Source organism: Homo sapiens, chromosome 14 (genome assembly GCF_000001405.40).
Source record: "Homo sapiens chromosome 14, GRCh38.p14 Primary Assembly".
Lineage (NCBI taxonomy): Eukaryota > Metazoa > Chordata > Mammalia > Primates > Hominidae > Homo > Homo sapiens.
In genome coordinates this window covers 65,340,969-65,367,154 of record NC_000014.9, presented here as the reverse complement: position 1 = coordinate 65,367,154, position 26,186 = coordinate 65,340,969, and the positions used below count along the sequence as shown (strand labels likewise).

Below are 26,186 nucleotides of genomic sequence, written 5' to 3'. Positions count from 1 at the left end.
GTAATGTAGAAACGAGTCTTCAGGATGGGGACAGGAGAAGAGAGCCCACCACCAACCCCTCTGGCCAGCTCCAAAGTACATCTGACTTCTTAGAGCTCTGGAGAAATCTGGAGATGTTGCAGTCCTTAGGGAATCGGTTGCTTAAGGACACAGAGTCTTTTCTCTCTTTCATTTCCCCTTTCTCAGCTCTTCGCTTTTCTCTACATTTTCTTTTCCAGTAGTCTCTGGCACATGTCTCTTCCTCTCCCCTCCCTTCTTACAGAAGGAATCTGTAGCCTCTTCAGAACCATGGTGTGTGCACAGGGCCAATTTGCCACTTCTCCTGAGGGTATTACATTTTAAACCTTTTAACTGACTGTACAATGAAAAACTGGTTTAAAAGAATTTCAATCTCCAGAGCATAGCTGGAAAGTCTAGGATATTTTGAGGGGCAGGAGTCATTTCCCAGGGCTCTAAGATACGACACTATAGTAAGCTGCTTAATTTAATTAGATGAGGTAGGCCTTTTAAGAGTCTATTCTGAGGGATCCTTTGGATCATCTTGCCACTACTAACCAAAGTGATGCTTTGAAAAGCACAGAGCTGTGGTAGGGTATAGGCTGAATACTCATTCTGGTGGGCTGTTGGGTACATATCCTAGCAATAACATATAATGTCATTGTGATCAAAGCATAAGACAGGATTTCTTTTCTCCGCCAAAAAACAAGCAAACAAACCCCACAGAAGCCATCGGGGAAAAACTAGTGTAATAGTTTTCCAATGTCCAGTCTTTCTAAGTCTGGTCCATTTAAGTCTCAGCTCAAATCTCACTTCCTCAGAGATGCCTTTCCCTGACTACTCAGTCTATAGTAGCAACTTCCCTGCCTCATTCACTCTGCACAACATTACAGTGTCTCATTTTCTTCATAATATTTACTGTTACCTTAAATTTTCTCATTCGGCTACTTACTGTCTTCTCTATTAGAATATAAATTCCATAAGGGTAGAAACTTTGTCTGTCTTGTGCTGTCTCTCCAGTGCTAGACACATACTGTTACAGGAAAGGGTTCTGGATCCAGACCCCAAGAGAGGGTTCTTGGATCTTGTGCAAGAAAGAATTCAGGGTGAGTCCATAAAGTGAGAGCAAGTTTATTTTTAAAAAATACAAAAACTATCTGGGCATGGTGGCGCATGCCTATAGTCCCAGCTACTCAGGAGGCTGAGGCAGGAGAATTGCTTGAACCCAGGAGGCAGAGCCTGCAGTGAGCCAAGATCGCACCACTGCACTATAGCCTGGGCGACAGAACAAGACTCTGTCTCAAAAAAAAAAAGAAAAGAAAGTAAAGGAATATAAGAATGCTACTCCATAGGCAGAGCAGCACCAAGGGCTTCTGGTTGCCCATTTATATGGTTATTTATTGATTGCATGCTAAACAATGGGTGGATTATTCATACCTCCCCTTTTCAGACCCTATAGGGCAACCTCTTGTCATTTTCATGGCATTTGTAAACTGTCATGGCGCTGGTGGGAGTGCAGCAGTGAGGACGACCAGAGGTCACTCTCATCACCATCTTGGTTTTGGTGGTTTTAGCTGGCTTCCTTACTGCAACCTGTTTTATCAGCAAGCTCTTTATGACCTGTATCTTGTGCTGACCTCCTATCTCATCCTGTGACTTAAAATGCCTTAACCATCTGGGAAGGCAGCCCAGTAGGTCTCAGCCTCATTTTACCCAGCTCCTATTCAAGATGGAGTTGCTCTTGTTCACATGCCTCTTACAATACTAGATGCTCAATAATTATTTGTTAAATGAATGAGAGAGAGAGAGAGAGAGAGAGAGAGAGAGAGGAAGAATTTATTAGGTCTCAGGAGGGGAATCATGCCCCTCTTTGCTCTTTAGGAGGGCAGGGTAATTGCAGATACTCAGACACTCATCAGACATTGCAGAGTATTTAATGAAGTTACAAAGCAGCTGAGGGTCTAGCAGTAGGCTGCCTAATATATCTAAAAGAAAACAGCATTGTGCTTTAACTGGAAGTAAAACTCTGATTATTCTGTTTCAAGTTGAATGTGGCCAAATAAGGGGAGAATACCTTGGAACAGGTTCTTGCCAAAAGGATTAGAATAGAGTGAGGGAGAATAGATTAATGTGAAGTTGATCACTCAAAACTTCAAAAGGTACACACTGTACCTGGGATGTACTGTACACGGCCAAAGCATGAGGGGTGTGTGTGGACGGCAAGCCCTCAGGTGTAAGCCCCGGCTCACAGAGAAGACACATGTGCAATCCAGTGTGGCCCAGGAATGATGTGACACTGCGGAAAATGAAGTTAATGGGATCATTAAAGATGCAGATGTGCCTAGATTTCAAGGAAGACTTAGGCCTATTAGGAGAGTCATCTCAGATTCTATCTTGGCAAGATTTCAGGCAGAAATGTGTGTGGTCCTGTCATACTCTGTTTGGAAGGGAATAAGCTTATGTGAGCCTGTCTGGACCAGATGGACAAAAGGCAGGTTCTTGAGGCTTTCATCCCTTCAAGCAAATACCTAAAAGTGTCTATGGGGGACAAGGCAAGATGGGTTGTTGGCTGGAGTCTGCTCCATTGATGCAAAAGAATGCTGAGAACGATAAGGGCGCCTTGCACTAGCAGGAGCTCTTTACTTTTCAAAATGAGGCCAGGCACGGTGGCTCACACCTGTAATTCCAGCACTTTGGGAGGCCGAGGCGGGCAGATCACCTGAGGTCAGGAGTTCGAGACCAGCCTGGCCAACATGGTGAAACCCCGTCTCTACTAAAAATACAAAATTAGCTGGGCATGGTGGCGGGTGCCTGTAATCCCAGCTACTTGGGAGTCGAGACAAGAGAATTGCTTGAACCCGGGAGGTGGAGGTTGCAGTAAGCCGAGATCTCACCACTGCACTCCAGCCTGGGTGACAGAGCAAGACTCCATCTCAAAACAAAACAAAAAAAAATGGTTTTGGATCTGTTATCTCATTTTACTCCTATTTTAAACCTGTGAGGTAGGAAAGATGGTTACTGCTTTTATAGCCATTTGTCAGTGTGGAGACTGAGGCAAAGTAAATTTGTGGTCTGTTCAGAGTCAACTTATTTACAATAGTAGGAGAACCAGTGTTCTCCACCAAGTTTCTAAAAATGTGGACCCCTGCATCAGAATCACCCAGGAGCACATGTAAAATGACCCCACTGTAGGGGAGGGAAAATAGCTTTTCTCTACCCTTCTGAGTTCTTGGCTGGGGCCCCTGTAACAAAAGACAGGTTAACAAGAGAGAAGCATACAAACTTATTTAATAAGTGTAAAGTTTTAGAAAGCATGGCAGCCTTCATAAAGAAATGGAGACTCAAAGAAGTGGTAAAACCTGAGTGGTTTTATGCTAGGTTTGATGAAGAGTGGGGAGTGGTGGAGAAATGAGATAGGACAAAAGGGTGTGAGCTAAGCATGGTAAACTGAGGAAAACAGCAAGGCCTGGGAGTTCAGATTCTTCTCTGTGTCCCTTTGTCTTTAGAGGCAAGGATGCTCATTTCTTGCCAGTATAGAGAGGGCATCTCTCACATGAGGGTTTTATGACCTCCTTCAGGAAATGGGCAGAAAGTCCTTCCTGGCCGGGCGCAGTGGCTCACACCTGTAATCTCGGCACTTTGGAAAACCGAGGCGGACAGATCACCTGAGGTCAGGAGTTCGAGACAAGCCTAACCAACATGGTGAAACCCTGTCTCTACTAAAAATGCAAAAATTAGGCCAGGTGCAGTGGCTCACGCCTGTAATCCCAGCACTTTGAGAGGCCGAGGCCAGTGGATCACCTGAGGTCAGAGTTCGAGACCAGCCTGACCAACAGGGTGAAACCCCATCTCTACTAAAAATACAAAAATTAGCCAGGCTTGGTGGCGGGCACCTGTAATCCCAGCTACTCAGGAGGCTGAGGCATGAGAATCGCTTGAACCCGAAAGGCAGGGGTTGCAGCAAGCCGAGGTCACACCACTGTACACCAGCCTAGGAGACAGAGTGAGATTCCATCTCAAAAAGAAAAGAAAGTCCTTTCTGTACCTGCCATGTCTCAAATTCCTTCAGTTTAAAATATCCAATATGCTAAGGTAGTGTGTCCTAAACCTCATTACCTACTCCAGAAGTTCTTTTTTTTTTTGAGTCTCATTTATGAGGACAGAATTTCTTCTCTTTTTTTTTTTTTTTTTTTTTTGAAACAGAGTCTTGCTCTGTTGCCCAGGCTGGTGTACAGAGGCGCAAACTCAGCTCACTGCAGGCTCCGCCTCCCAGGTTCGCGCCATTCTCCTGCCTCAGCCTCCTGAGTAGCTGGGACTACAGGCACACACCACCACGCCCGGCTAATTTTTTGTATTTTTAGTAGAGACGGGTTTTCACCATGTTAGCCAGGATGGTCTCGATCTCCTGACCTTGTGATTCACCCGCCTCAGCCTCCCAAAGTGCTGGGATTACAGGTGTGAGCCACCACGCCCGGCTAATGAGGACAGAATTTCTTAATCAGAGGATATCTGGGGTCAGGTCTAGAAATCTGCACTTTTATTTTTAATTCCAGGTGATTCCTATGCATACTAATTGTTTAGCATTGCGTATCACCCTTGACCCTAAAGCAATTTGGGCTTTTTGTTTGTTTGTTTGTTTGTTTGTTTGAGATGGGGGTCTTGCTATATTGCCCAGGCTGGCCTCGAACTCCTGGGCTCAAGTAATCTTCGTACCTCAGCCCCCTGAGTAGCTGGGACTACAGCCACCACACCCAGCTTCTAAAGCAATCTGTAATCCATTGAGTCATTAGCTTAATTCTCAGCTCATCAATTCCTGTATTCTTTCCCTCAAACAGTCCCCCTTTTGAACTGAAAACACAGCATGCTCCTTAGAAGACAGCGTTGTGCTATTGGAAAGAGTAGAGGGAACAATTGTTGACAGGGACTATTTCAAGCTTTGGCAGGGAACACTTGTTAGAACAATCATAGCTAAATCATAGATTGTAAAACAGCAAAGCCTGGGAATCTGCTCTTCAGGGGTTAAAACAACATGCAACCCAACTAGCTGATCAAGTGTTCCAGGAATAAAAAGAACTGACAAAGAGCTTCAGAGTCATCACAACTGGCGAAACCAAAGCTCCATTGGCAGGCTGGAGGGTTGTTGAAACAAGATATGCTGCAACAAGTTCTGGAGTGAAAGAAAGAAAGCATTTCAAACAGCTGATGAAAGTTTATAAAATAGAGATAGGGGAGGATCTACCACAACATTCCCAGCGATTTCAGGAAATACCCAAGGCCACTAAAAGTGGATTCTTGGGGAGAGGAGAATGGGAGTTATAATTTATTTATTTATTTATTTATTTATTTATTTGTTTGTTTGTTTGTTTTCTTTGAGACAGACTCTTGCTCTGTCGCCCAGGCTGGAGTGCAATGGCACAGCGTCTGCTCACTGCAACTTCCACCTCCGGGTTCAAGCAATTCTCCAACCTCAGCCTCCCAAGTAGCTGGGAATACAGGCACATGCCACCACGCCCGGCTAATTTTTGTGTTTTTAGTAGAGACAGGGTTTCGCCATGTTGGCCAGGCTGGTCTTGAACTCCTGACCTCAGGTGATCCCCCAGCCTCAGCCTCCCAAAGTGCTGGGATTACAGGTGCAAGCCACCGCACCCGGCCATAGTCTATTTTTAATGTAAAATACTGAGTTTCTATGAGTCAGTAAGGTTAGTGCCCTTACTTAGGACAATAGTAATTTAGTCCTAGTAAGTATCCTTACAAGGTCTCTAGTAGATCCTTACATTTATAGAGCTTTTTTTTTTTTTTTTGAGACAGAGTTTTGCTCTTGTTGCCCAGGCTGGAATGCAATGGCACAATCTCGGCTCACCACAACCTCCGCCTCCCAGGTTCAAGCAATGCTCTTGCCTCAGACTCCCAAGTAGCTGGGATTACAGGTGCACACCACCACGCCCGGCTAATTTTTGTATTTTTAGTAGAGACGGGGTTTCACTATGTTGGTCAGACTGGTCTCGAACTCCTGACCTCATGATCCGCCTGCCTCGGCCTCCCAAAGTGCTGGGATTACAGGCATGAGCCACCATGCCTGGCTTTATAGAGCTCTTTACAGTTTAAAATCACCATGTAATCACTCTCATGTGATTGTATAGCACCTTGAAAGTTTCCAAAGTTCTTTCATCATACCTGATGACTTACCATCTTCATCACTGCTCTGCAGCATTTACCATCCCCATTTTGCAGAACAATTTTTTTGAGAAAATATGGGCTCATAAAATTACAGAATCTCTCCAAGGTCACCCAACTAATTTGTGTTCACTAAGTTGTGAACTCAACTTCAGTGCTTCCCCATTTCCACACCTGACTTTCTATTATAGACTTCTGCAAACAATAATAATAAAAAATAAAATGTAGCTCAGCCCATCATAGCATTTGAGGGCTATAAGCCAACTTCCCATTTGACAGATGAGAAAACCCAGGCACAAAAATGTTGAGGCTTTGCCCCAGGTCACATGGTTATCAACAGAGTCCGGATACTGGATCCCCATCTCCTCATTATCCAGTGCAGAGCTCATTCTACTTTGCCCTGCTTCCTCTCATACTTTGTGGATAGCTAGATATAAATCACATGTGTACATTTGGAATCTTGGAACAAGTGCCTTTAATAGGCCAGTCCTCTGAAGTATGGGAGCCTAACAGATTAAAAATGCTTTAGGTTGATTTAAAAAGGCATCTCTGGCCTTTGAATTTAGCTTTAAAAGCTTGGAATGTTTGTCTTCTTACTCCATAATGGTATAATCAGTACACTTACCACATTAAGCAATGCAGAAACACCTGCTGTGAGTCGTGCCCACATTTCTATTATTGGTATAGATGGCTGTAAACCCAGCTAATGGCAAGACTGACAGAGTTGTTTCATGTTAGATTTTGATAAAAGGGAGAGAATCATGCAGATTTGAAACATGATTTGTAAAATTACCAGTTATCAGAGGATGCATGAGGGCTAGTCCCACAACATAAGGTAAAAATGAGTGTGCCTGGCCAGGTGCAGTGGCTCATGCCTGTAATCCCAGCACTTTGGGAGGCTGAGGCGGACGGATCATGAGGTCAGGAGATCAAGATCATCTTGGCCAACATGGTGAAACCCTGTCTCTACTGAAAATACAAAAATTAGCTCGGTGTGGTGGTGTGTGCCTGTAATCCCAGCTACTCGGGAGGCTGAGGCAGGAGAATGACTTGAACCCAGGAGGCGGGAGGCGGAGATTGCGATGAGCAGAGATCATGCCACTGCACTCCAGCCTGGGTGATAGAGCAAGACTCCGTCTCAAAAAAAAAAGAGTGTGCCTTGCAGGGATGCAATCAGAAAATTGTAAACCCACGTTCATAGCTGTATTACTCACATTAGCCAAAAGGTGGAAGCAACCCAAGTGTCAGTCAACAGATGAATGGATAAATAAAATGTGTTCCATGCATACAATGGATTATTATTCAGCCTTAAAAGGGAAGGAAATGCTGACCACAGTATAACATGGATGAACTCTGAAGACATCATGCTAAGTGAAATGAGCCAATCACAAAAAGACAAGTAGTGTGTAACATACTTGGAGTAGTGAAATTCACAAAGATAAAAAGTAGAATAGCGGTTGCCAGAGCTGAGGGGAGGGGAGAATGGAGAGTTTGTGTTGAACAGGCTCAGAGGTTCAGCTAGGGAAGATGAAAAAGTTCTGGAGATGTATGGTGGTGATGGTTGCACAACAACGTGAATGTACTTAACGCCACTGAACTGTATAGTACACTTAAAAATAGTTAAAATGATGAATTTTATGTTATGTATGTTTTGCTGCAATACACAAGAAAATGAATGTGCCTTGTTTATTGGTTTCTTCTCTCATTTTCGACGGGCAGCAGAGCATGTGTCCTTGGGGCAGCCCAGGGATTCCAGCTCAAGCTCCAGATTGTTTGCATCCTTCTTCAAAACTTCACTAAAAACACCATCACAAGAAAACAGTAAGACAAACCCCAAAAGTAAAACAGATGCCCTGGTCTCTTCAAAAGTCAGTGCCCCTAAAAAAGAAAAGATTGGTTCTTAATAGGAAAAAAAACAGTTCTAAAAGACATTTTGGGAGCAACTGAAAAAGTGTGAATATGGACTCAGTATTAAATAATATTAAAGAATAATTATTAGTTATTGTAGATGTGGTCATAGTGTTCTGGTTGTGTAGGAGAATGTCCTTATTTGGGGTAACCATATGCTGTTAAGTATTTAAAGTGTCATGATGCTCAGCAACTTATTTTCAAATTATTAAGGGGAAAATATATGTACTCACCAAACAGTAAAATAATAGCACAAAAAAACACAAATAACAGCAGAAAACAAAATGGCAAAGACATAGATAAAACAATTATTCAGTGTAAATTATGCAGGGCATGGTAGCTCACACCTATAATCCCAGCACTTTGGGAGGCCAAGATGGGGCTGTCCACTTGAGCACAGAAGTTCAAGACCAGCCTGGACGACACGGAGAAACCCCATCCATCTCTACCAAAACCACAAAAATTAGCCGGGCATGCACCTGTAGTCCCAGTTACTCTGTAGACCGAAGTAGGAGGATCGCTTGAGCCTGAGGAGGTCATACTACTGCACTCCAGCCTGGGCAACAAAGTGAGACCCTATCTCCAAAAATGATAATAATAATAATAATGTAAAAAAAGTAAATGATGTATTTAAAGGTGTTACTTGCATTAGTTTTCAACATTTTTGTACATGTGATAATTGTTATTAAAAAGTGTTTAAATATTGAGTATCTATGGTTTAATAAATATTTTTATTAATTTATTTATAATTCACACAAAATAATTGTACATATTTATGGGATACAATGTGATGTTTCAATGCATGTGTATACTTTATAATGATCAACTCAAGGTAATTACTATACTCATCACTTTAAACATTTATCATTTCTTTGTAATAATACTCAAAATCTTCTCTTCCAACTATCTTGAAACATAGACTGCATCGTTACTAGTTACAGTCACCCTACCATGTAATGGAACACTAGAACTTATTCTTCCTAACTGTAACTTTTTACCTGTTGACCAACCTCTCCTGTTCTCCTCCCCTCCCTACCCTCCCCAGCCTCTGGTAACCACTATTCTACTCTCTGCTTCTAAGAAATCAACTCTTTTGGATTTCACATATGTGTGGAAATCATGTGGTGTTTGTCTTTCTGTGCCCAGTTTACTTCACTTAACATAATGTCCTCCAAGTTCATCCAGAAGTCACTATTAAATTGCAAATTTATGCCTTCTCTAGTCAAACCACCATTACCACCAGTTCAGGGTGTACCAGGCACTTTGCTAAAACTTCACACACACTATTTTATGTGATTTGCACTCTGCCTCTATCAAGAGACTATTGTCATTACCCTCACTTTTGCAGATGAGAAACTGAGGTGCAGACATTAAGTAACCTGTCCAAGATTATGCAGCTAGTGAGTGACAGAGCCGAGGTTTACACATAGACAGTCTGGCTGTAAAATAGGTCACATCTTCCAAACTGGAAGCCCTGAAGAAAATTTTAGATACTGAGGCAAGCCTATGATGGAGATGTGTTGGGGGCCCTCAAATCATGGCCATTAAGGGGGTATCTCAACCACCTAAGGGTAGGGTCTGCTTAGGCTGCAGAGCCCTAAAGAAATAGCCTCTGTTCGAGTATTCTAGCAGTGAATCTGGGTATTTTGCCCCTCCCAGGGAAGCTGAGACTGTTTTACAGCTATTGTCTCATCTGTAGCCCTAGGCAGGATGGGAACTGTTATAAATAATTCTTTCTAGTTTCAACTCTGGAGACTTGCCCGAGGCTTCTGGCTCTGTGGTCCACACCTGGCTTCTGTAGACAGCAACAACAGTAACTACAGCAGTTGACATTTTTATAATACTTGCTATGTGACAAGCACTCTTCCAAGTACTTTAAATACACTAACAAATCCCTGCAACACTTCTGTGGAGTAGACATATTATCCCCATTTTAGAGATAAGAACACTGAATCACAGAACATAAGTAAATGCCCAAGGTCACACACCTAGTAAGTGAAGGAACCTGGCTCCCGCCAGAGTAAGTACTCATGGCTTCTATTAATCCAGATGAGACCCAGAAGCTCCCTTCTGGTTCTTACCTCTCCTGGGGAGAACTTTGTCCCAGTGCTTGCCCCTGACCACATGAGTTGAATGAAATCAACTCAGGTGGCACGGAAAAGAGGCCAGCAGTAGTGGCCTCAGTGCCTCTGCCAGATATGTGAGCCGGTGTTCCAGTACCCTGCTCTCTCCACATTTTACCTTTGGGCCTTTGTTTTTTTACAAAGCAGCAGTAACTCCCAGATGGTTTGATATCAGAGGTCATCACCCCACCTTGCTGCCTACTAAGGACATGGTGGCCCAGCCCTAACAAACCACAGAAAACTTGCATGCTTGTCTTCAACGGAAAGAAGAGAAGGCTTCCTGGTGGGCCCTCCCTAATGGAGCCAACCACAAAGCCAGCCATTGGACAGGACTCTAAAGTAAGGAAAGGCAGTCCCCTCCCAATTCCCCACCCACACTCTCTCACCTGCCACGTCAGGAAGTGTAGGGTGAACCTCTTTATACTCAGGTGTTAGTCATGCTTCCTATCCCTCCCAAGGGGGCATCCTAATATGGGATCCCTTGGAGGCAGCAATGACTCACCCAAAGGAATGACGCTGGTAACAGAACGATCATCAAATGATGATAATCGAATGAGGCTTTTTTTTTCCCTTTCTGCTATAGGAAAAAAAGAAAAAAATATATTTTTCTTTTCTTTTCTTTTTTTCTGAGATGGAATTTCACTCTTGTCACTCAGTCTGGAGTGCAATGAGGCAATCTTGGCTCACTGCAACCTCTGCCTCCCAGGTTCAAGCAATTCTCCTCCCTCAGCCTCCTGAGTAGCTGGGCTTATAGGCATCTACCACCATGGCTGGATAATTTTTGTATTTTTAGTAGAGATGGGGTTTCACCATGTTGGCCAAGCTGGTCTTGAACTCCTGACTTCAGGTGATCCACCCACTTCAGCCTCCCGAAGTGCTAAGATTACAGGCGTGAGCCACTACACCCGGTGGAAGAAAAAATTCTATTCCTCTTCACTGACCTCCTAGCTCCCCAGTTAGCTAAGGCTTTGTGTTTAGCGGTCAGTCTTAGTTCCTCATTTTGTCTTGGGGGTAGTGGTGGCAGCAGTTAGCTAATGGTTTCTCTATAATTCAAGGGTCAAACCCAAGAAGGAATTAGATGGCAGTACCCCAGAGGATGAGGTGGGGATTGGTTGGAGAGAAGCTAGGGCTTTGTGGATGAGAGAGAGAATTGGATTCTATGAGTCTGGAGCCTTGCGCCTTTTCTGTAAAGGGCTCTGGAGGTTGCTGGTGTCTAGGGGAGCAGTTGGTGCCTGGAAGTCAGAATGTCTCTGTAGGAGGGGTTTAGGGGCAGCAATCTGATTGAAAGGCTGGGAGGGGAAGAGGATGCTCTAAGCTGTTTACATGGCTACATACATGAAAATGAGAAAATATTAATTACCTACAACAAGGAACAGGGGATGCTGACCTAGATTACGGGGAGAAGATCTAAAGTTTCCTCAACACTCCTTCTACTACCACCACCACTCAAACTTGGCACATGACTAATACCTCAAGGACAATCTCTAACTATATAACCTTGGAAATATCCACAAGGGCCCCTGTGGCAGAGCCTGCAGGTAAAGTAGGCACTTTGAGGTGAAACCTTTTAGTCCAATAGCTGTGTCACATAACAAAAGTAGCAACATTAATAATGGTGGCTATTTTATTGGCTAACTCAATCCCCTGCCCCATTTTGCTATTACCAAGCAGGGCCCCGGATTCTAGTACGGCCCAACAGAAAAGAGGGGATTTCAATAATCATTAATATTGGGGATTGCACCAGCCAGGGCAAGGTGGGGCTCACAGCATGATTCCATTTGATTTTAAAAAGTAAAGTGATGTGCATTTCCTTGCTCCTTGGCGAAGTGGAGCGAATTCCTACCTGTTATTTAGGCATCAGTGAGAGAGTGGTGGAGCGGGGAGGGAGGCAGAGTGATCCTCAAATCACCAGGCAGTAGGAGAAGCTGCCAGGCTCTGCCCTCCTCCATTTGCCTTTAGTTGGCAAAAGACAAATTAGCCCAGCGCCTCCTGAGCTGAGTTTGCAGTGCAGAGTCTGCAAGAATGTTTGCTTGGGGAGCAGCACTGTGCTTTACCTCAGCAGGTGTAATTCCATCACATGATTGTCTTGGATCTGCTTTTCCCCACTCCAGCCTGAGCTTGCCAAGTCAGAGAACGATAGCTGAGAAATAAATAGTTCTTCTCTGTGTCAGCCCAGGAAACACTAAGGGTCCCTTTACACGGTATAGAATGAGCATTTTCTTACTGCTGGGGTTAAAGAAGGCCTCTCTCCCTGCCCTTGAGGCCTACAGCCAGAACTTTCTCTTTGCGGGAAACTCACTGGCTTCCACGGGAAGCCAGACTGGGCCCTGCGGCCTGCCCTGCCCAGCCCATACCCAAGCTTTACAGGTCGCCAACACACCAGTCAAAGGAGGAAGACTAGGGCCTTCACGGGGACACAGAGACAGGGCTAAGTGCTCTACTGCCTTGGAAACTTTCGGTACAACCTTGGCATCTCTAGCCCAGAGAGTTATTTCTATTGCAGTTTAAGGTTACTACCTTGGGCAGGTAACTTTCACCTTCTGGAAACTGCTGACAAGGAAGCTAAATAAGAGGGACCTCCCCAGCCCAAGCCTGGAAAGCTCAGCCATTCAGCCCAGGAGCCAAGATAAGGTGAGCCTGGTCAGTGCCAGCAGCCTGGGCCCACTCATGCCTAAAGACTCGTAGGGTCCCGTGAAGCCAGGTCAGTGTCTGACCTTCCTCTTTCAGGTTACAGATGTTCCCTCTGCATGTCTGTTGCAGGACTAAGCTGGCTTGAGAGACTCTGGGGTTTCTGTACAGCCCTGACAGGGACCAAGAGAAGAGAGACTATCACTGAGTTCTAGGGACTCCTTTTTTATTTTTAGTAGAGACAAGGTCTTGCTGTTGCCCAGGCTGTTCTCAAACTCCTGAGCTCAAGCGGTCCCCCTACCTCGCCCTTCCAAAGTGCTGGGATTACAGATGTGAACCACTGCCCTCAGCTTGAGTTCTTACTTGAAGTTCAGATTTCTGGGCTTTTTCTGGAATGAGACACAGTACAAAACCATAACACTTGATGTGATGTTTCTTTCTTTCTTTTCTTTTTTTTTTTTTTGAGACAGAGTCTTGCTCTGTCGCCCAGGCTGGAGTGCAGTGGCACGATCTCAGCTCACTGCATCCTCTGCCTCCCAGGTTCAAGAGATTCTCCTGCTTCAGCCTTCCAAAATAGCTGAGATTACAGGCACCCGCCACCACTCCTGGCTAATTTTTTTGTATTTTTAGTAGAGACGGGGTTTCACCATGTTGGTCAGGCTGTTCTCGAACTCCTGACCTCAAATGATCTGCCCACCTCGGACTCCAAAAGTACTGGAATTACAGGCATGAGCCACTGCACCCAGCCACTTAATGGTAGGTTTCTTATAAACCTACTGCATGGTTATATAAACGAGATGATAGAAAAGGAAATCTCTGTACTGTTGTCTTCAGTGCTTGTTAAGATACACAGTAGCCACTCCAGTGCGTTAGCCATCTCTGACAGGTGCTAGATTTTCCCCATTTGCTACTCATAATCTGCTCTCCACCCTTCTTTGCCCTGCTCTCTGCCCATGAGGCTGAGTCACAAGGATGACATCAGTAGGCTGCTTTTGCCCTCCAGCCTCTAGGGGTTGGCCAAGGAGGTTGGCATATTTATTTCTCTGGTTCCTTCCTGCCAGGTGGCCCTCTCTATCAGCTTTCTAGGTTCCTTTAATGGGTTCCATTGCCTTGTCCTTACAGACATGGTGGCGGTAGTGGCTCTTGCACTCACCAGCCCAAGGGTAGTGCACATCCCTTTTGCTTTGTCTAAGCCCAGTCCATGCTTTGTAAATAGTGACTTTATTACACTCTTCCTAAATGACTCAATTTAAGGGCATCCTTTTTTTTTTTTTCCAGGCTAGGACACTAACAGATGAAACCTTTAGAACATTTTGCCCTTATTACTATTTCTAAGTTAATATGGGGAAATTTTACTTGACTTTGCCCTCTCCTAACTTTTTGCACATAAAATTTTATTTTCTCTTTTTATTTTTCTTTGAGACAGGGTATACTCAGACTGGAGTGTAGCAGTGAATTCCTGGGCTTAAGCAATCCTCCTGCCTCAGCTTCCCAAGTAGCTGGGACATAACATCTAACATTCCCAAGTAGCTACTAGTGCATAACATCTAAAAAAAAATTTTTTTTTAATTTTAAAAATTAAAATTTTTTTTTGTAGAGATGGGGTCTTGGTATGTTGTCCAGGCTGGTCTCAAACTCCTGGCCTCAAGCCTTCATTCTGCCTTGGCCTCCCAAAGTGCTGGGATCATGGGTGTGAGCCACCGGGCTTGGGCTTATTTTCTCCTGGTATTGCTAGTTTTTTTTTTTTTTTTTTAGACGGAGTCTTGCTCTGTCCCCAAGGCTGGAGTGCAGTGGCGTGATCTCGGCTCACTGCAACCTCTGTCTCCCAGGTTCAAGCAGTTCTCTGCCTCAACCTCCCAAATAGCTGGGGTTACAGGCACCTGCCACCACACCTGGCTAATTTTTGTATTTTTAGTAGAGACAGAGTTTCACCATCTTGGTCAGGCCGGTCTTGAACTCCTGACCTCGTGATCCACCTGCCTTGGCTTCCCAAAGTGCTGGGATTACAGGCATGAGCCACCACGCCTGGCTAAAGTAGTTTTTTAAAATTTAAAATGTATACAATAATTTTTTGTTTTCTAAAAAGCAAGATCCTTACTGTAATTGCTTTCAGGAGATAATTTTAGATAATGTATTAGTTCGTTCCTTGTTGATTATAATAGAATATGTGGAACTGGGTCATTTATAAAGAAGAGTAATTTATGTCTTACAGTTATGACGGCTGGGAAGTCCAGGATTGAGGGGCTGCAACTGTGAGGGGACTCTTGCTGGTGAGGACTTTCTGTAGAGTCCCAAGGCCACACTGGGAATCACATGGTGAGGGGCTGAGTGAGCTCACATGCTTGCTTAGGTCTCTCTTCCTCTTCTTAAAAAGCCACTAGTTCCACTCTCATGATTACCTGCTAGTCTATTAGCCCATTAATCCATTAACCTATAAATGGATTAATCATAAGGGTTGAAACCTTTTGATCCAATCACCTCTTAAAGATTCAATACGGTCACATTTTGAGATTAAGTTTCTAACACATGAAATTTGGGGGACACATTCAAACCATAGTAGATAAATAAGGAAAAAAAAGTCTTGCAAATTTTGCATTTTAAACCAGCACTAACAGGTGTTTCCGACGCATGCTACGGCTTAAGAAGCACTGCAAAAGTCAGCTCTTCAAGCTTCTCACAGGCAGCTGTCCTAAGACATCAGCATCCCCTTCCCTCCATTAGAGCCTACACCAATGAGTTTGAGATAAAGCAATTTTATATAAAAACAGCCTAGTATCTCTATATTGGAAAGTCTGTCCTTAACACCAGGTTTTGAAGTCCAGGAAAGCTGTGTACGTTATTTAACTTAAAAAGTTAAATATGGGCCAGGCACAGTGGCTCACACCTGTAATCCCAGCACTTTTGGAGGCCGAGGCGGGTGGATCACCTGAAGTCGGAAGTTCAAGACCAGCCTGACCAACATGGCAAAACCCTGCCTCTACTAAAAATACAAAAATTAGCCAGGCGTGGTGGCGCATGCCTGTAATCCCAGCTACTCAGGAGACTGAGGCAGGAGACTTACTTGAACCCGAGAAGTGGAGGTTGCAGTGAGCAAAGATCGCGCCACTGCACCTAGCCTGGGTGACAGAGTGAGACTCTGTCTCAAGAGAAAAAAAGTTACATATGTATATCTATCTATATATTTAAATCACATATATATATGTGTGTGTGTGTGTATGTGTATGTGTGTGTATGTGTATATATATATATATATATATAACTTTAGGCCGTGCATCGTGGCTCATCTCTGTAATCCCAGCACTTTGGGAGGCCGAGGCGGGTGGATCACGAGGTCAGGAGATGGATTCCATCCTGGCTAACATGGTGAAACCCCGTCTCTACTAAAAAATACAAAAAATTAGCTGGGCGTAGTGGGGGCGCCTATAATCCCAGCTACTTGGGAGGCTGAGGCAGGAGAATGGCGTGAACCCGGGAGGCGGAGCTTATAGTGAGCCAAAACCGCGCCACTGCACTCCAGCCTGGGCGATAGAGCGAGACTCCGTCTCAAAAAAAAAAAAAAAAAAGAAAAACTTTAAAAGTTTTATACTCAAGGCTTTTCCTAGAATATACATTCCTCCATATTCCCTATTTTAAAAATTACCTCTTTGTCTCTCAAGCTCAACAACTTTTCTGTGAATCTCTTGATCCTTGCACATCTGGCATGAAAATATCCCAAGTTATCTGCATTGGCAGATGGAGCTGTGCTGAACAGAAGCTTTATCCTGGATTCGGTCCTCTCTCCCAGCACAAGCACCTGACTCAACTTCCGAAGTGTGGAGAACGTTATGGAACTTCATCTTGCCCTAGTTTACCTCCTCCGACTTCCAGTCCTACCCACTTATACTTCTTCCTGGTCCAAATGGATTATCCCCCTAATTTTTCCCCTTAAAGATATCAATAGAAGATTGATTATCCACACTGTATGCTCATTATTGTCCTGCGTTGCTCCTTAGAAGCTGTTGCTAAGTAATGCTAAGTACTAAGCCAGGTTCCTGTGGTCTGCTCCCGCACCCTAGAAGGGTCTTACGTGAATTGGGCTGGGATGAGTTCCAGCACATGGGAACTATAGGAAAATCTGAAACAGAGGCAAAAAGTGACCTTAGGAATGAAGTCTCCTTTACATTGATGATGTGTGACCTGTTCTCCTCATTCTCCTCAGCAACTTCAGACTGGCTACTTCTTTTTTTTTTTTGAGACAGACTCTTGCTCTTTGTCCAGGCTGTAGTGCAGTGGCACAATCTCAGCTCACTGCAACCTTCTCCTCCCAGGTTCAAGCGATTCTCCTGCCTCAGCCTGCTGAGCAGCTGGGATTACAGGTGTGCACCACCATGCCCGGCTAATTTTTTTAATTTTAATAGAGACAGGGTTTTGCCATGTTGGCCAGGCTGGTCTTCCCCAGCGAGTTTTCACCAGCTCTAGCCCAGCCTGACCCTTTTTCTAGTGAAAGGCAGGTCCCACTTGACTGTTATTTTCATCCAAAGGAATGAACAGCCAGAGCCTCTTACTTCCCAGTATGTAGTAGTGGTTATCATCAAGCAGTTGATTACATAGAGCTTTGTTTGGGGAATATAATTCTTTACAAGTCTGGCCGTAATAAAATACAGACTTGCCGCTAAGATTTGCGGGGCCTTGGGCACGAGTGCAGATGGAAGTCCACATACTACATATATAAAAGTTGTAAATTACACTAACAAACGGATAAATAAAATATTTCAATTCCCCTATACTGACAAATATCCCCTCATAAACACAAAATATACACACAGATACAAATATACAGCCCTTGAAAAAGAGAAAGAAACGGGCTAATCTGGAAGGCCAGGTTCAAATATGGAATTCTTGAACTTCTCAGAGCTCCATGCGGGGACATAGTGGAATGGAAAGAGCTGGCCCCTGACCCACCCCCCACTTATCTTCCTAGCCCAGGCACTGTCCCACATGACAAAGGGCCTTGAGTACATTCACGTAGACATGACCAAGCTCCATCCACATTCCCACTCTTACCTCATCACACTTATTGCACACCTTTCATGCCTAGGAATAAGTACATTAGTGGTACAGTCTGTCCTTGGGGAAGTGTACCTGCAGAAGTGGCCCAGGCCCAGGAATTAGGCTCTAGAAGGGGAATATGGGCTCTGAGTGGGAACATCCCATTGGTGGGTTCTTTCCGCCATGAGAGGTATAGCCAAAGTGGGCCAGAGTGAGGCCCTCTAAAGCATGGGATCCTCTAAAACATGGGACCATAGGCAGAGGGCACAGCCAGTGAAATAAGATAGCTTAGATGGAAGATACACCCAACAGTAGGGAAATCACTAAAGAGGTCATGAAAGCTCCAGGTAAAATGGTGGCCCCGGAGAGGAGAGGAGGAAGAGATAGAGATTATCTAGGAAGCAGATCTGAGCAGACACACAGAGTGCAGAAACCAGTGCTTCGGCAAATGCTACCTGTCCTGGCTTCAGCCCCTGCCCAGAGTACCCACACTTCTCTACTGGGCCCTGAAGACCCCTTCTTTGCCTAAGCTAGTTGGAGTAGGTACTGTTACTTGACAAAAATAAAGTCTTGACAAGATACTACTTCGTGTCGCAAAAGAAACCGAAGTTTCCTAGAGAGAGAGAGATGGCAGAGAAAGAAAAGGGCTAAAGACAGAGGTTTGAGAAAGACATAAAATGCAGAAAAAGAGAAAGAAGAACCCAAGTAAGAGTTGTGACAGGAGTAGGGAAAGAACTAGCTCACTCGGGTGGGCATTTCAGAAAGAAGAGCTGGTCGGTTGGAAGATGAGGCCTGAGTAAAGGTCACTGGAATTGATGACTAAAAGATCACCACTGACCTTCAAGATAGCACAACTAGAGATGAGTGTTGGCAGACAGATGTGCCCAGCTGTGCTGGGGAGATGGAGCAGCAGCTGTTCACACATGGCCCAGGGCTTTCTTCTGCCCTGTATGGGTGTGAGTATGACCCCCCTGCCTGTTTCACAATCTCCTTCTACTGAGCACACTGGGGAACGCTGGCACCCTTGGGGCCAAGGCAGATTTGAAGTGTGTTAAAGAACAGGGTGTGAACTGCCATGATCCCGGATGTGACTCCCTAAGGACAGAGTGTCTGGAAAAAAAACCAACCAACCAACTGAAGAACCACTGGGTTTGGGGGGATCCCTAGTCTTCACCTGAAACACTGGGAATTACCTCTTCCTCTTATTCTGCATTCCCTTAGGATGTCCCTTAAGGACAAGTCCCAGCCCAGGTAGGTAGCAACCTCCGCTGCTCTGCCTGCCTGCCAAGGTGAGCCAGCTTCTCATTTCCTCGTCTTGTCTCAAGGGGTGTGTGTGTGTGTGTGTGTGTGTGTGTGTGTGTGTGTAGGGGAGGATCCCCTACAAAGTCTTTCTTCCAAATCCCAGCAATTCGGCCGGGCATGGTGGCTCATCCCTGTAATCCCAGCACTTTGGGTAGCCAAGGCTGCAGGATTGCTTGAAGCCAGGAGTTCAAGACCAGCCCAGACAATATTGCAAGACCTCATCTCTACCAAAATAAATAAATAAATAAATAAATAACAACCAAAACCAAAAAGTTGCCGGGCAAGGTGGTACACATTGTATTCCCAGCTACTCGGGAGGCTGAGGTGGGAGGATCATGTGAGCTCAGGAGGTCGAGGCTGCAGTGGGCCACAATTGTGCCACTGCACTCCATCCTGGAGTGAGACTCTGTCTCAAAAAAAAAAAAAAAAAAAGTCTCAGCAATTCGAGGATAACGACAAATAAGTAAAGATAACTTTTTATTTAAGGAAGCCCATCTATGACTCCCTGTTAATACAGCTGACAACAGGAGAACCCAGGCTATGAAGCCTACAGAGCATTTGCAAGGGAGGTAGGCTACCTGTAGCTAGAGAAAATGAACCATGGCACAGCCTGGGCCCAACTTCTCCACTGTGACCATTGCTCAGAGACTGCCATATAAGAGAGAATTTCGGAAGTGTGAGGTTTGACCCTCACGATGGACCCACTGCTCTGACTGGCTTGCTGTGAGCTGTCACCCCCACCCTATTTCTCCTCAACCTTCAACCACAGTTCCTAACCTGAGTGATCACCAAGCTGGGTGACCCCCACTGCACCCCCTGCCAAGGGTGAAAGGGAGGACAGAGTCCACTGGCTGGTCCTTCCTGCTAAGTTTATGAAAAGGGAACAGTGTCAGCAACGTCTCCCCTCCCCTGACTCAGCAGCGTGCACTGTCAGCACTTCCAGCCTCCCCGTGACAGTGCACTCCATGGAGAAATAAAAAATAACTGCTCGTTAGAAAAATGAGAGAGTCCTGACCTTTTCCCATTGATTTTTCCCCTTTTTTGATTTAAATATCTGCAGCCTGTGGGTGTTAGCATCCCGTCAACTTTCTCTGTGAAGCCATTCCCCTCTTCACAGGAGACAGGATGTTTTTTAACCTACAGATGAAGTTTGCTTTTCTTCTCTGAGGACCTAAAGGGAGTTTACTAAACAATATTTTCACATATTTCACTCGATCCTCTTAATTGCCTTGTGAAACAGGTATTATTATCTCCATTCCACAAGAGAGAAACAGATGTTCTGAATGGTCCAGTGACTTGCTCAAGGCTGCTGAGTTCGTAGGTCCTGGACCTGAGAATTGACTTCTGCCCCCTGACTCTAAAGTCTATGCCAGGCTAACAAATCCAAGGGTGGGGGCTGGCAGGGCAGGAGTGTAGTGTGGGAGACAGAATCTCAAATCCTTGTCTTTCCCTCTTTTCATAGAGCCCAGACATTGCGAGTTAAAAGAAAACATACTCGGGCTGGGTGCGGTGGCTTATGCCTGTAATCCCAGCACTTCGGGAGGCCAAGGCAGGCAGATCACTTGAGGTCAGGAGTTTGAGACCAGCCTGGCCAATGTGGCAAAACCCCATGTCTACTAAAAATACAAAAAATAGCTGGGCGTAGTGGTGGGCGCCTGTAGTCCCAGCTACTCGAGAGGCTGAGGTGAGAGGATTGCTTGAACCTAGGAGGCAGAGGTTGCAGTGAGCTGAGTTTGTGCTACTGTACTCCAGCCTAGAAGACAGAGCAAGACTCTGTCTCAAAAAAAAAAAAAACTCCAAAGAGAAAGAGCAAAGAAAATATACTAGGCTGGGTGCGGTGGCTCACGCCTGTAATCGCAGCACTTTGGGAGGCTGAGGCGGGCGGATCACAAGGTCAGGAGATCGAGACCATCCTGGCTAACACGGTGAAACCCCGTCTCTACTGAATATACAAAAAATTAGCCAGGTGTGGTGGTGGGCGCCTGTAGTCCCAGCTACTCGGGAGGCTGAGGCAGGAGAATGGCGTGAACCTGGGAGGCGGAGCTTGCAATGAGCCAAAATCACGCCAGTGCACTCCAGCCTGGGTGACAGAGCGAGACTCTGTCTCCAAAAAAAAAAAAAAGAAAGAAAGAAAAGAAAATATACTGACCCTTAGAGCAATGGCTTTAAACTTTTACAAATGTGACCCATTTGTAAAAGTACATTTTATATCTTGATCTGGTACATCACATGCGCGCGCGCGCACACACACACACACACACACACACACACACACAACTGGGTCAAAAGTTTTAGCAAAAGTAATATACTCTGATATATTTTGTTCTACTCCATTGAATTCTTTTTTCCCCTTTTAATGATGGTTTTGACCCACGAAATTGATTTCATTACCCACAATTGAAAAATGCTGCCTTAAAGCATAAACTATGCATTCAGAGACAAGCTCTCATACTACTCTTGTATAAAGTGCCAACTTATACAGTGCCCCAACACATAGTCCGTGTTCAGGAAATATGTGTTGAGCCTCTGGGCTTTTAAGGAACCAATAATCCACAAGTTAAACAACTTGTTCTGGAAACTCTCCAGTTTGGTTTATGTGGAAAAGATCATCCTAATTCCAAATCCCAACAAACAAATCATTCACACATGCGCACACAAAAGAAAAGCCTGGAAATGGATCTCTGTTGTGAATCTAGACTTGAAATTTCAAAATAAAATACTAGCAAATAGATTTCTTTCAGTGTCTGCCCAGTGCTGTGCACTGTCCTAGTGGCTAGAGATACAGAAAAATATGGGACCCAGGCCCTGCCCTCAAGGAGCTGGGGAATGGTGGGAGGCTGACAAGTGAAGCCTACAGTGCAGTGTGATGAGGGTAGCACAGGCTGCCAGGGAGTAGAAGGAAGTTATCTACCCAACCTAGAGGGCATAAAGATGATTTCCTTGGAGCTACTCAGAGCCTAGACTTGAAAGGTTGTAAGTTAGGTGGGAAAATAAATGGAGGACAGAGGTTTCAGGCAAAAGGAATCGCATGTGCAATGCTGTGGCAGTCACAGTTGATTGTCTGTCCCATAACCAATCCCTGTGTTCCTTGCAGTATGTCAATTATTTTGGGAAGGCATGGAGAGAGAGTGTCTACTACTACTTATATAATTTAGGGGGAATTCCTGACTAACATAAGCCAATCATCACGATCCCAGGATCCTTGCCAATTATTGGTTTAGGAATGAGTATAATAAGACCCGAGTCTGGCCAACGAAATTTCAGGAAAGAACTTCCAGGGAAAGAACTTCCAGGAACAGGCTTGGGAAAAGGTTTCCTTGTTCTTAAAGAGACTCATGGTAAGAAAGAGTCTGTTTTGGCCGGGCACGGTGGCTCACGCCTGCAATCCCAGACCTTTGGGAGGCCGAGGCGGGCCGATCACCTGAGGTCGGGAGTTTGAGATAAGCCTGGCCAGCATGGTGAAACCCTGTCTCTATAAAAATACAAAAATTAGCTGGGCATGGTAGCAGGCACCTGTAATCCCAGCTACTCTGGAAGCTGAGGCAGGAGAATCGCTTGAACCCAGGAGGCGGAGGCTGCAGTGAGTCGAGATTGCACCATTGGACTCCAGCCTGGGCAATGGAGCGAGACTCCATCTCAAAAAAAAAAAAAGAAAGAAAGAAACAGTTTGTTTCCTTCAGCTAGATACTTTACTGTGTCAGTGAAATTCCTGGCTGTAATGTGGTCATTTCGTGACCATGAGATAATCTACCTGGAGGGTGGCAAACCAGAAAGACAGAAAAACCAGGGACTTCAATGACTTTGTTGAGTAGCTGAATTAACCAACCCTAGAGCTACTCTATCCCATGACATGATGTCATCATGTAAGCTAATTGATTTTCCTCATCGTAAAAGTCAGTTGAGTCAGGGTTTTGTGTTACTTGCAGTCAAAATGAACTTAAACGAACTGGGCACAGTTGAGTGTACCTATATTACCAGCTATTTGGGAGGCTGAGGCAGGAGGATCACTTCAGCTGAGGAGTTCTAGGCCAGCCTGGACAACATAGTGAGACCCATCTCTTAAAATAATAATAATTAAATGAATGCAAAAGCTATAGAGATGGAAAAGGCATGTTCTGGGTTCTGCAACACAAAAATTGAGGTCCAGAGGCCAAATCATACTATACTACAAACTTTAGCTTCAACATGAGATACAAATGGCTGGTAAACATAAGAAAAACTTGACCACACTATTAAAGATAAAAGCACTTTGAAACTACAATGAGATGTCATTTTTCAACTCCAGATTGACTAAGATCAAAAAGCTTCATCATATCCAATATTGTCAAGAAGAAACCAGCACACCCATTTGTTGCTGAGGGGATGGTAAATGGCATAAATCTATGGCCAGGAATTTGGCAATAACTTTCAAACCAAAAATGAACTTGACCCGACAATTCCAGTTTTAGGTATTTATCCTACAGATATAGTTGCATGTATGGAAAATGACCTGCACAAGGATGCTAGCTACAGCATTGTTTGTAAAAGCAAATTGGCTAACAACTATTTAATTGTTCATTAATAAGGGAGTGATAAATTATTACATTCATATTGAATTATATGCCACCATTAAAAGGAATGAAAAAATTCTATACCTATTAATATGGAACTATATCAAATAAATATTATTAATCAAGAAAAGCAATATGTTAAATAGTACAGAATGGTATGCTACTAATGTTTTTTTTTTTTTTGATACATAGTTTCACTCTGTTGCCCAGGCTGGAGTGCAGTGGCCTGATCTCAGCTCACTGCAACCTCTGCCTCCTGGGTTCAAGCTGGTATGCTACTATTTATGTATACAGGGAAGAATATTTGAAAATACATAAGACACATTTGGAATAATCGCAAGAAACTGATAGCATCAGCTGCCCCAAGGAAAGGAATTAAGTGGATGGAAGTCAGGGGAGGAAGGGAGACTGACTTCCACCAGATACCTATACATACCTTCTGAATTTTGTGCCATGTACGTACATTGCGTATTCAAAATAATTCATTAACAGAAGGAGGACTTAATTCCCCAAATAAAAGGATATCTTAATTGGAAATATCACAACCTATTAAGCTCAAAAGAAATCGTTTGATTTTTTCTATAAATGCAAAAATGGCATTTAATATTCAATATACATTCATTTTTAAGGGCTAGTAGAGCTAGAATGAGTCTTCTTAATAAAGAGTACCTAATATTGGACATCATATTAAATTATGATTTTTGTAGAAGCCATTGTCAATCCTTAGAGATCACAATAAGTTGCCTCTAAAAAAAACTAGACAGAAAATTAATCTCAAAATTAAATTAGTAAGATCCTCATACCACAAATGTGATCAGCTACATATTTGAAGGTAAATATAAAGATTGTAATTTGTGACTGAAGAGATTAAGAAGAGAAGTATTCCAGTCCTGGTGTTCTGGGAATAATTTCTGAGAGGCAGAAGAAGAATGTAACAGTAATGCCTCAAACGGAAACTTGAACCCTAGTTGGAAAAAGACCTAGTGCATGTGGGGGAATTAGTCAATCAGGCAAACACATCAGTTCCCCCTAAACATGGCTAAGTGGGGAGGAATCTCTTTGCCAAGCAGACTTCCATGTATACTTCCAGACTTAGCCATAAGCTGCCTTAGCTGGGAGATAATTCTTGAAATTAGCTCACTCCTTGGTCTGATTTCATGTTTCTTAAGCATCTCTGGATAACCTGGCTGTCTCTGAGGTTTATCTAAGAAGAGAACATATAATGATCAGGCTGACTTGAGCATCCTAGTCCACTCAAAGATTGTATTTTAATTGTAAACTGCTAAACTTCAAAGTCCCATTCCAGTTTCAGAGGATCTCCCCCAATCCCCACCACTACCTCCCACCTTGGAATCAGCTAAGTTCCCAGTTGCAGCTCCATTGCAGGCCATCTTGCTACAGGTGTGTCTTCTGTAAAACACCCTCTGTAGACAACTCTCCATCTCAGAGTCCGTTTCTATGGCACCCAGTCTAAGATACAATGTATGTATGCAAAATATATGTATATACATACATTTCTTTATAAAGAAATCTATAAAACCTTCTATGTGATGGCCGGGCATGGTGGCTCACGCCTGTAATCCCAGCACTTTGGGAGGCCAAGGCGGACAGATCACCTGAGGTCAGGAGTTCAAGACCAGCCTGACCAACATGGAGAAATCCCATCTCTACTAAAAATACAAAATTAGCTGGGCGTGGTGGTGCATGCCTGTAATCCCAGCTACTCAGGAGGCTGAGGCAGGAGAATGGCTTGAACCCAGGAGGCAGAGGTTGTGGTGAGCTGAGATCGTACCATTGCACTCCATCCTGGACAACTAGAGCAAAACTCTGTCTCAAAAAAAAAAAAAAAAAAACTTCTATGTTGTCTGAAAAGATGTGAATGAATGGAAAAATAGAAGTTCCTAGATGGGAAACCTAAATATTATATAAATATGTGTTTCCTACAATTTAAGTTACATATTTAGCAGAATCTTGGTAAAAATCCCAGAAGGATGTTTTTAAACATATGACAAAAGAAAGGAATAAAAGGAAAATTCTAAACAGGCAAGAAAGAAAACAGGCCTGGCACAGTGACTCACACCTGTAATCCCAGCACTTTGGGAGGCCAAGGTGAGAGGATTGCTTGAGGCCAGAAGTTCGAGGCTGCAGTGAGCCATGGTTGCACAATGCACTCCAGCCTGGATAACAGAGAGAGACCTTGACTCAAAAGAAAAAAAAAGAAAGAAAATCTGTTGCAGAAGGGAATGAAAGAGGGTGAACGAGATCTATCAAAAGTAAAAACCTATAAAAAAAATAAAATATTGAAGTTTTTTCTTTTTAGAGATGGGGTCTCACTGTTACCCAACCTGGTCTTGAATTCCTGGCCTCAAGTAATCTCCCACCTTAGCCCCTAAAAGTGCTGGAATTACAGGCATGAGCCACCACACCTGGCTTCCTGTATTGAAGTCTTGATTTAAGAATAGACAGGCCGGGCGCG

General features: G+C 44.1%; 1 protein-coding gene across 1 annotated transcript in view, besides 2 other annotated features; it reads right to left on the bottom strand.

The window, feature by feature from the left end:
* The window catches only part of FUT8 (fucosyltransferase 8), a 387,280-nt gene extending 376,967 nt beyond the window's left edge, over positions 1-10,313 (bottom strand). Inside the window, exon 1 of the mRNA XM_047431179.1 lies at positions 10,161-10,313. The gene's annotated coding sequence lies outside the window, so the exon portion shown is untranslated. The remainder of the gene's footprint in view (positions 1-10,160) is intronic.
* Positions 10,029-11,228: an enhancer, noted in NCBI's record as "P300/CBP strongly-dependent group 1 enhancer chr14:65822645-65823844 (GRCh37/hg19 assembly coordinates)". NCBI's record gives its function as "activates an origin of replication core promoter dependent on BRD2, BRD4, P300/CBP, MED14 and CDK7 cofactors, with strong dependence on P300/CBP, by STARR-seq in HCT116 cells {active_cell/tissue: HCT116}" and the evidence as "EXISTENCE:reporter gene assay evidence [ECO:0000049][PMID:35650434]".
* Positions 11,119-11,208: an enhancer, noted in NCBI's record as "active region_8561". NCBI's record gives its function as "activates an Ori minimal core promoter by ATAC-STARR-seq in GM12878 lymphoblastoid cells {active_cell/tissue: GM12878}" and the evidence as "EXISTENCE:reporter gene assay evidence [ECO:0000049][PMID:35858748]".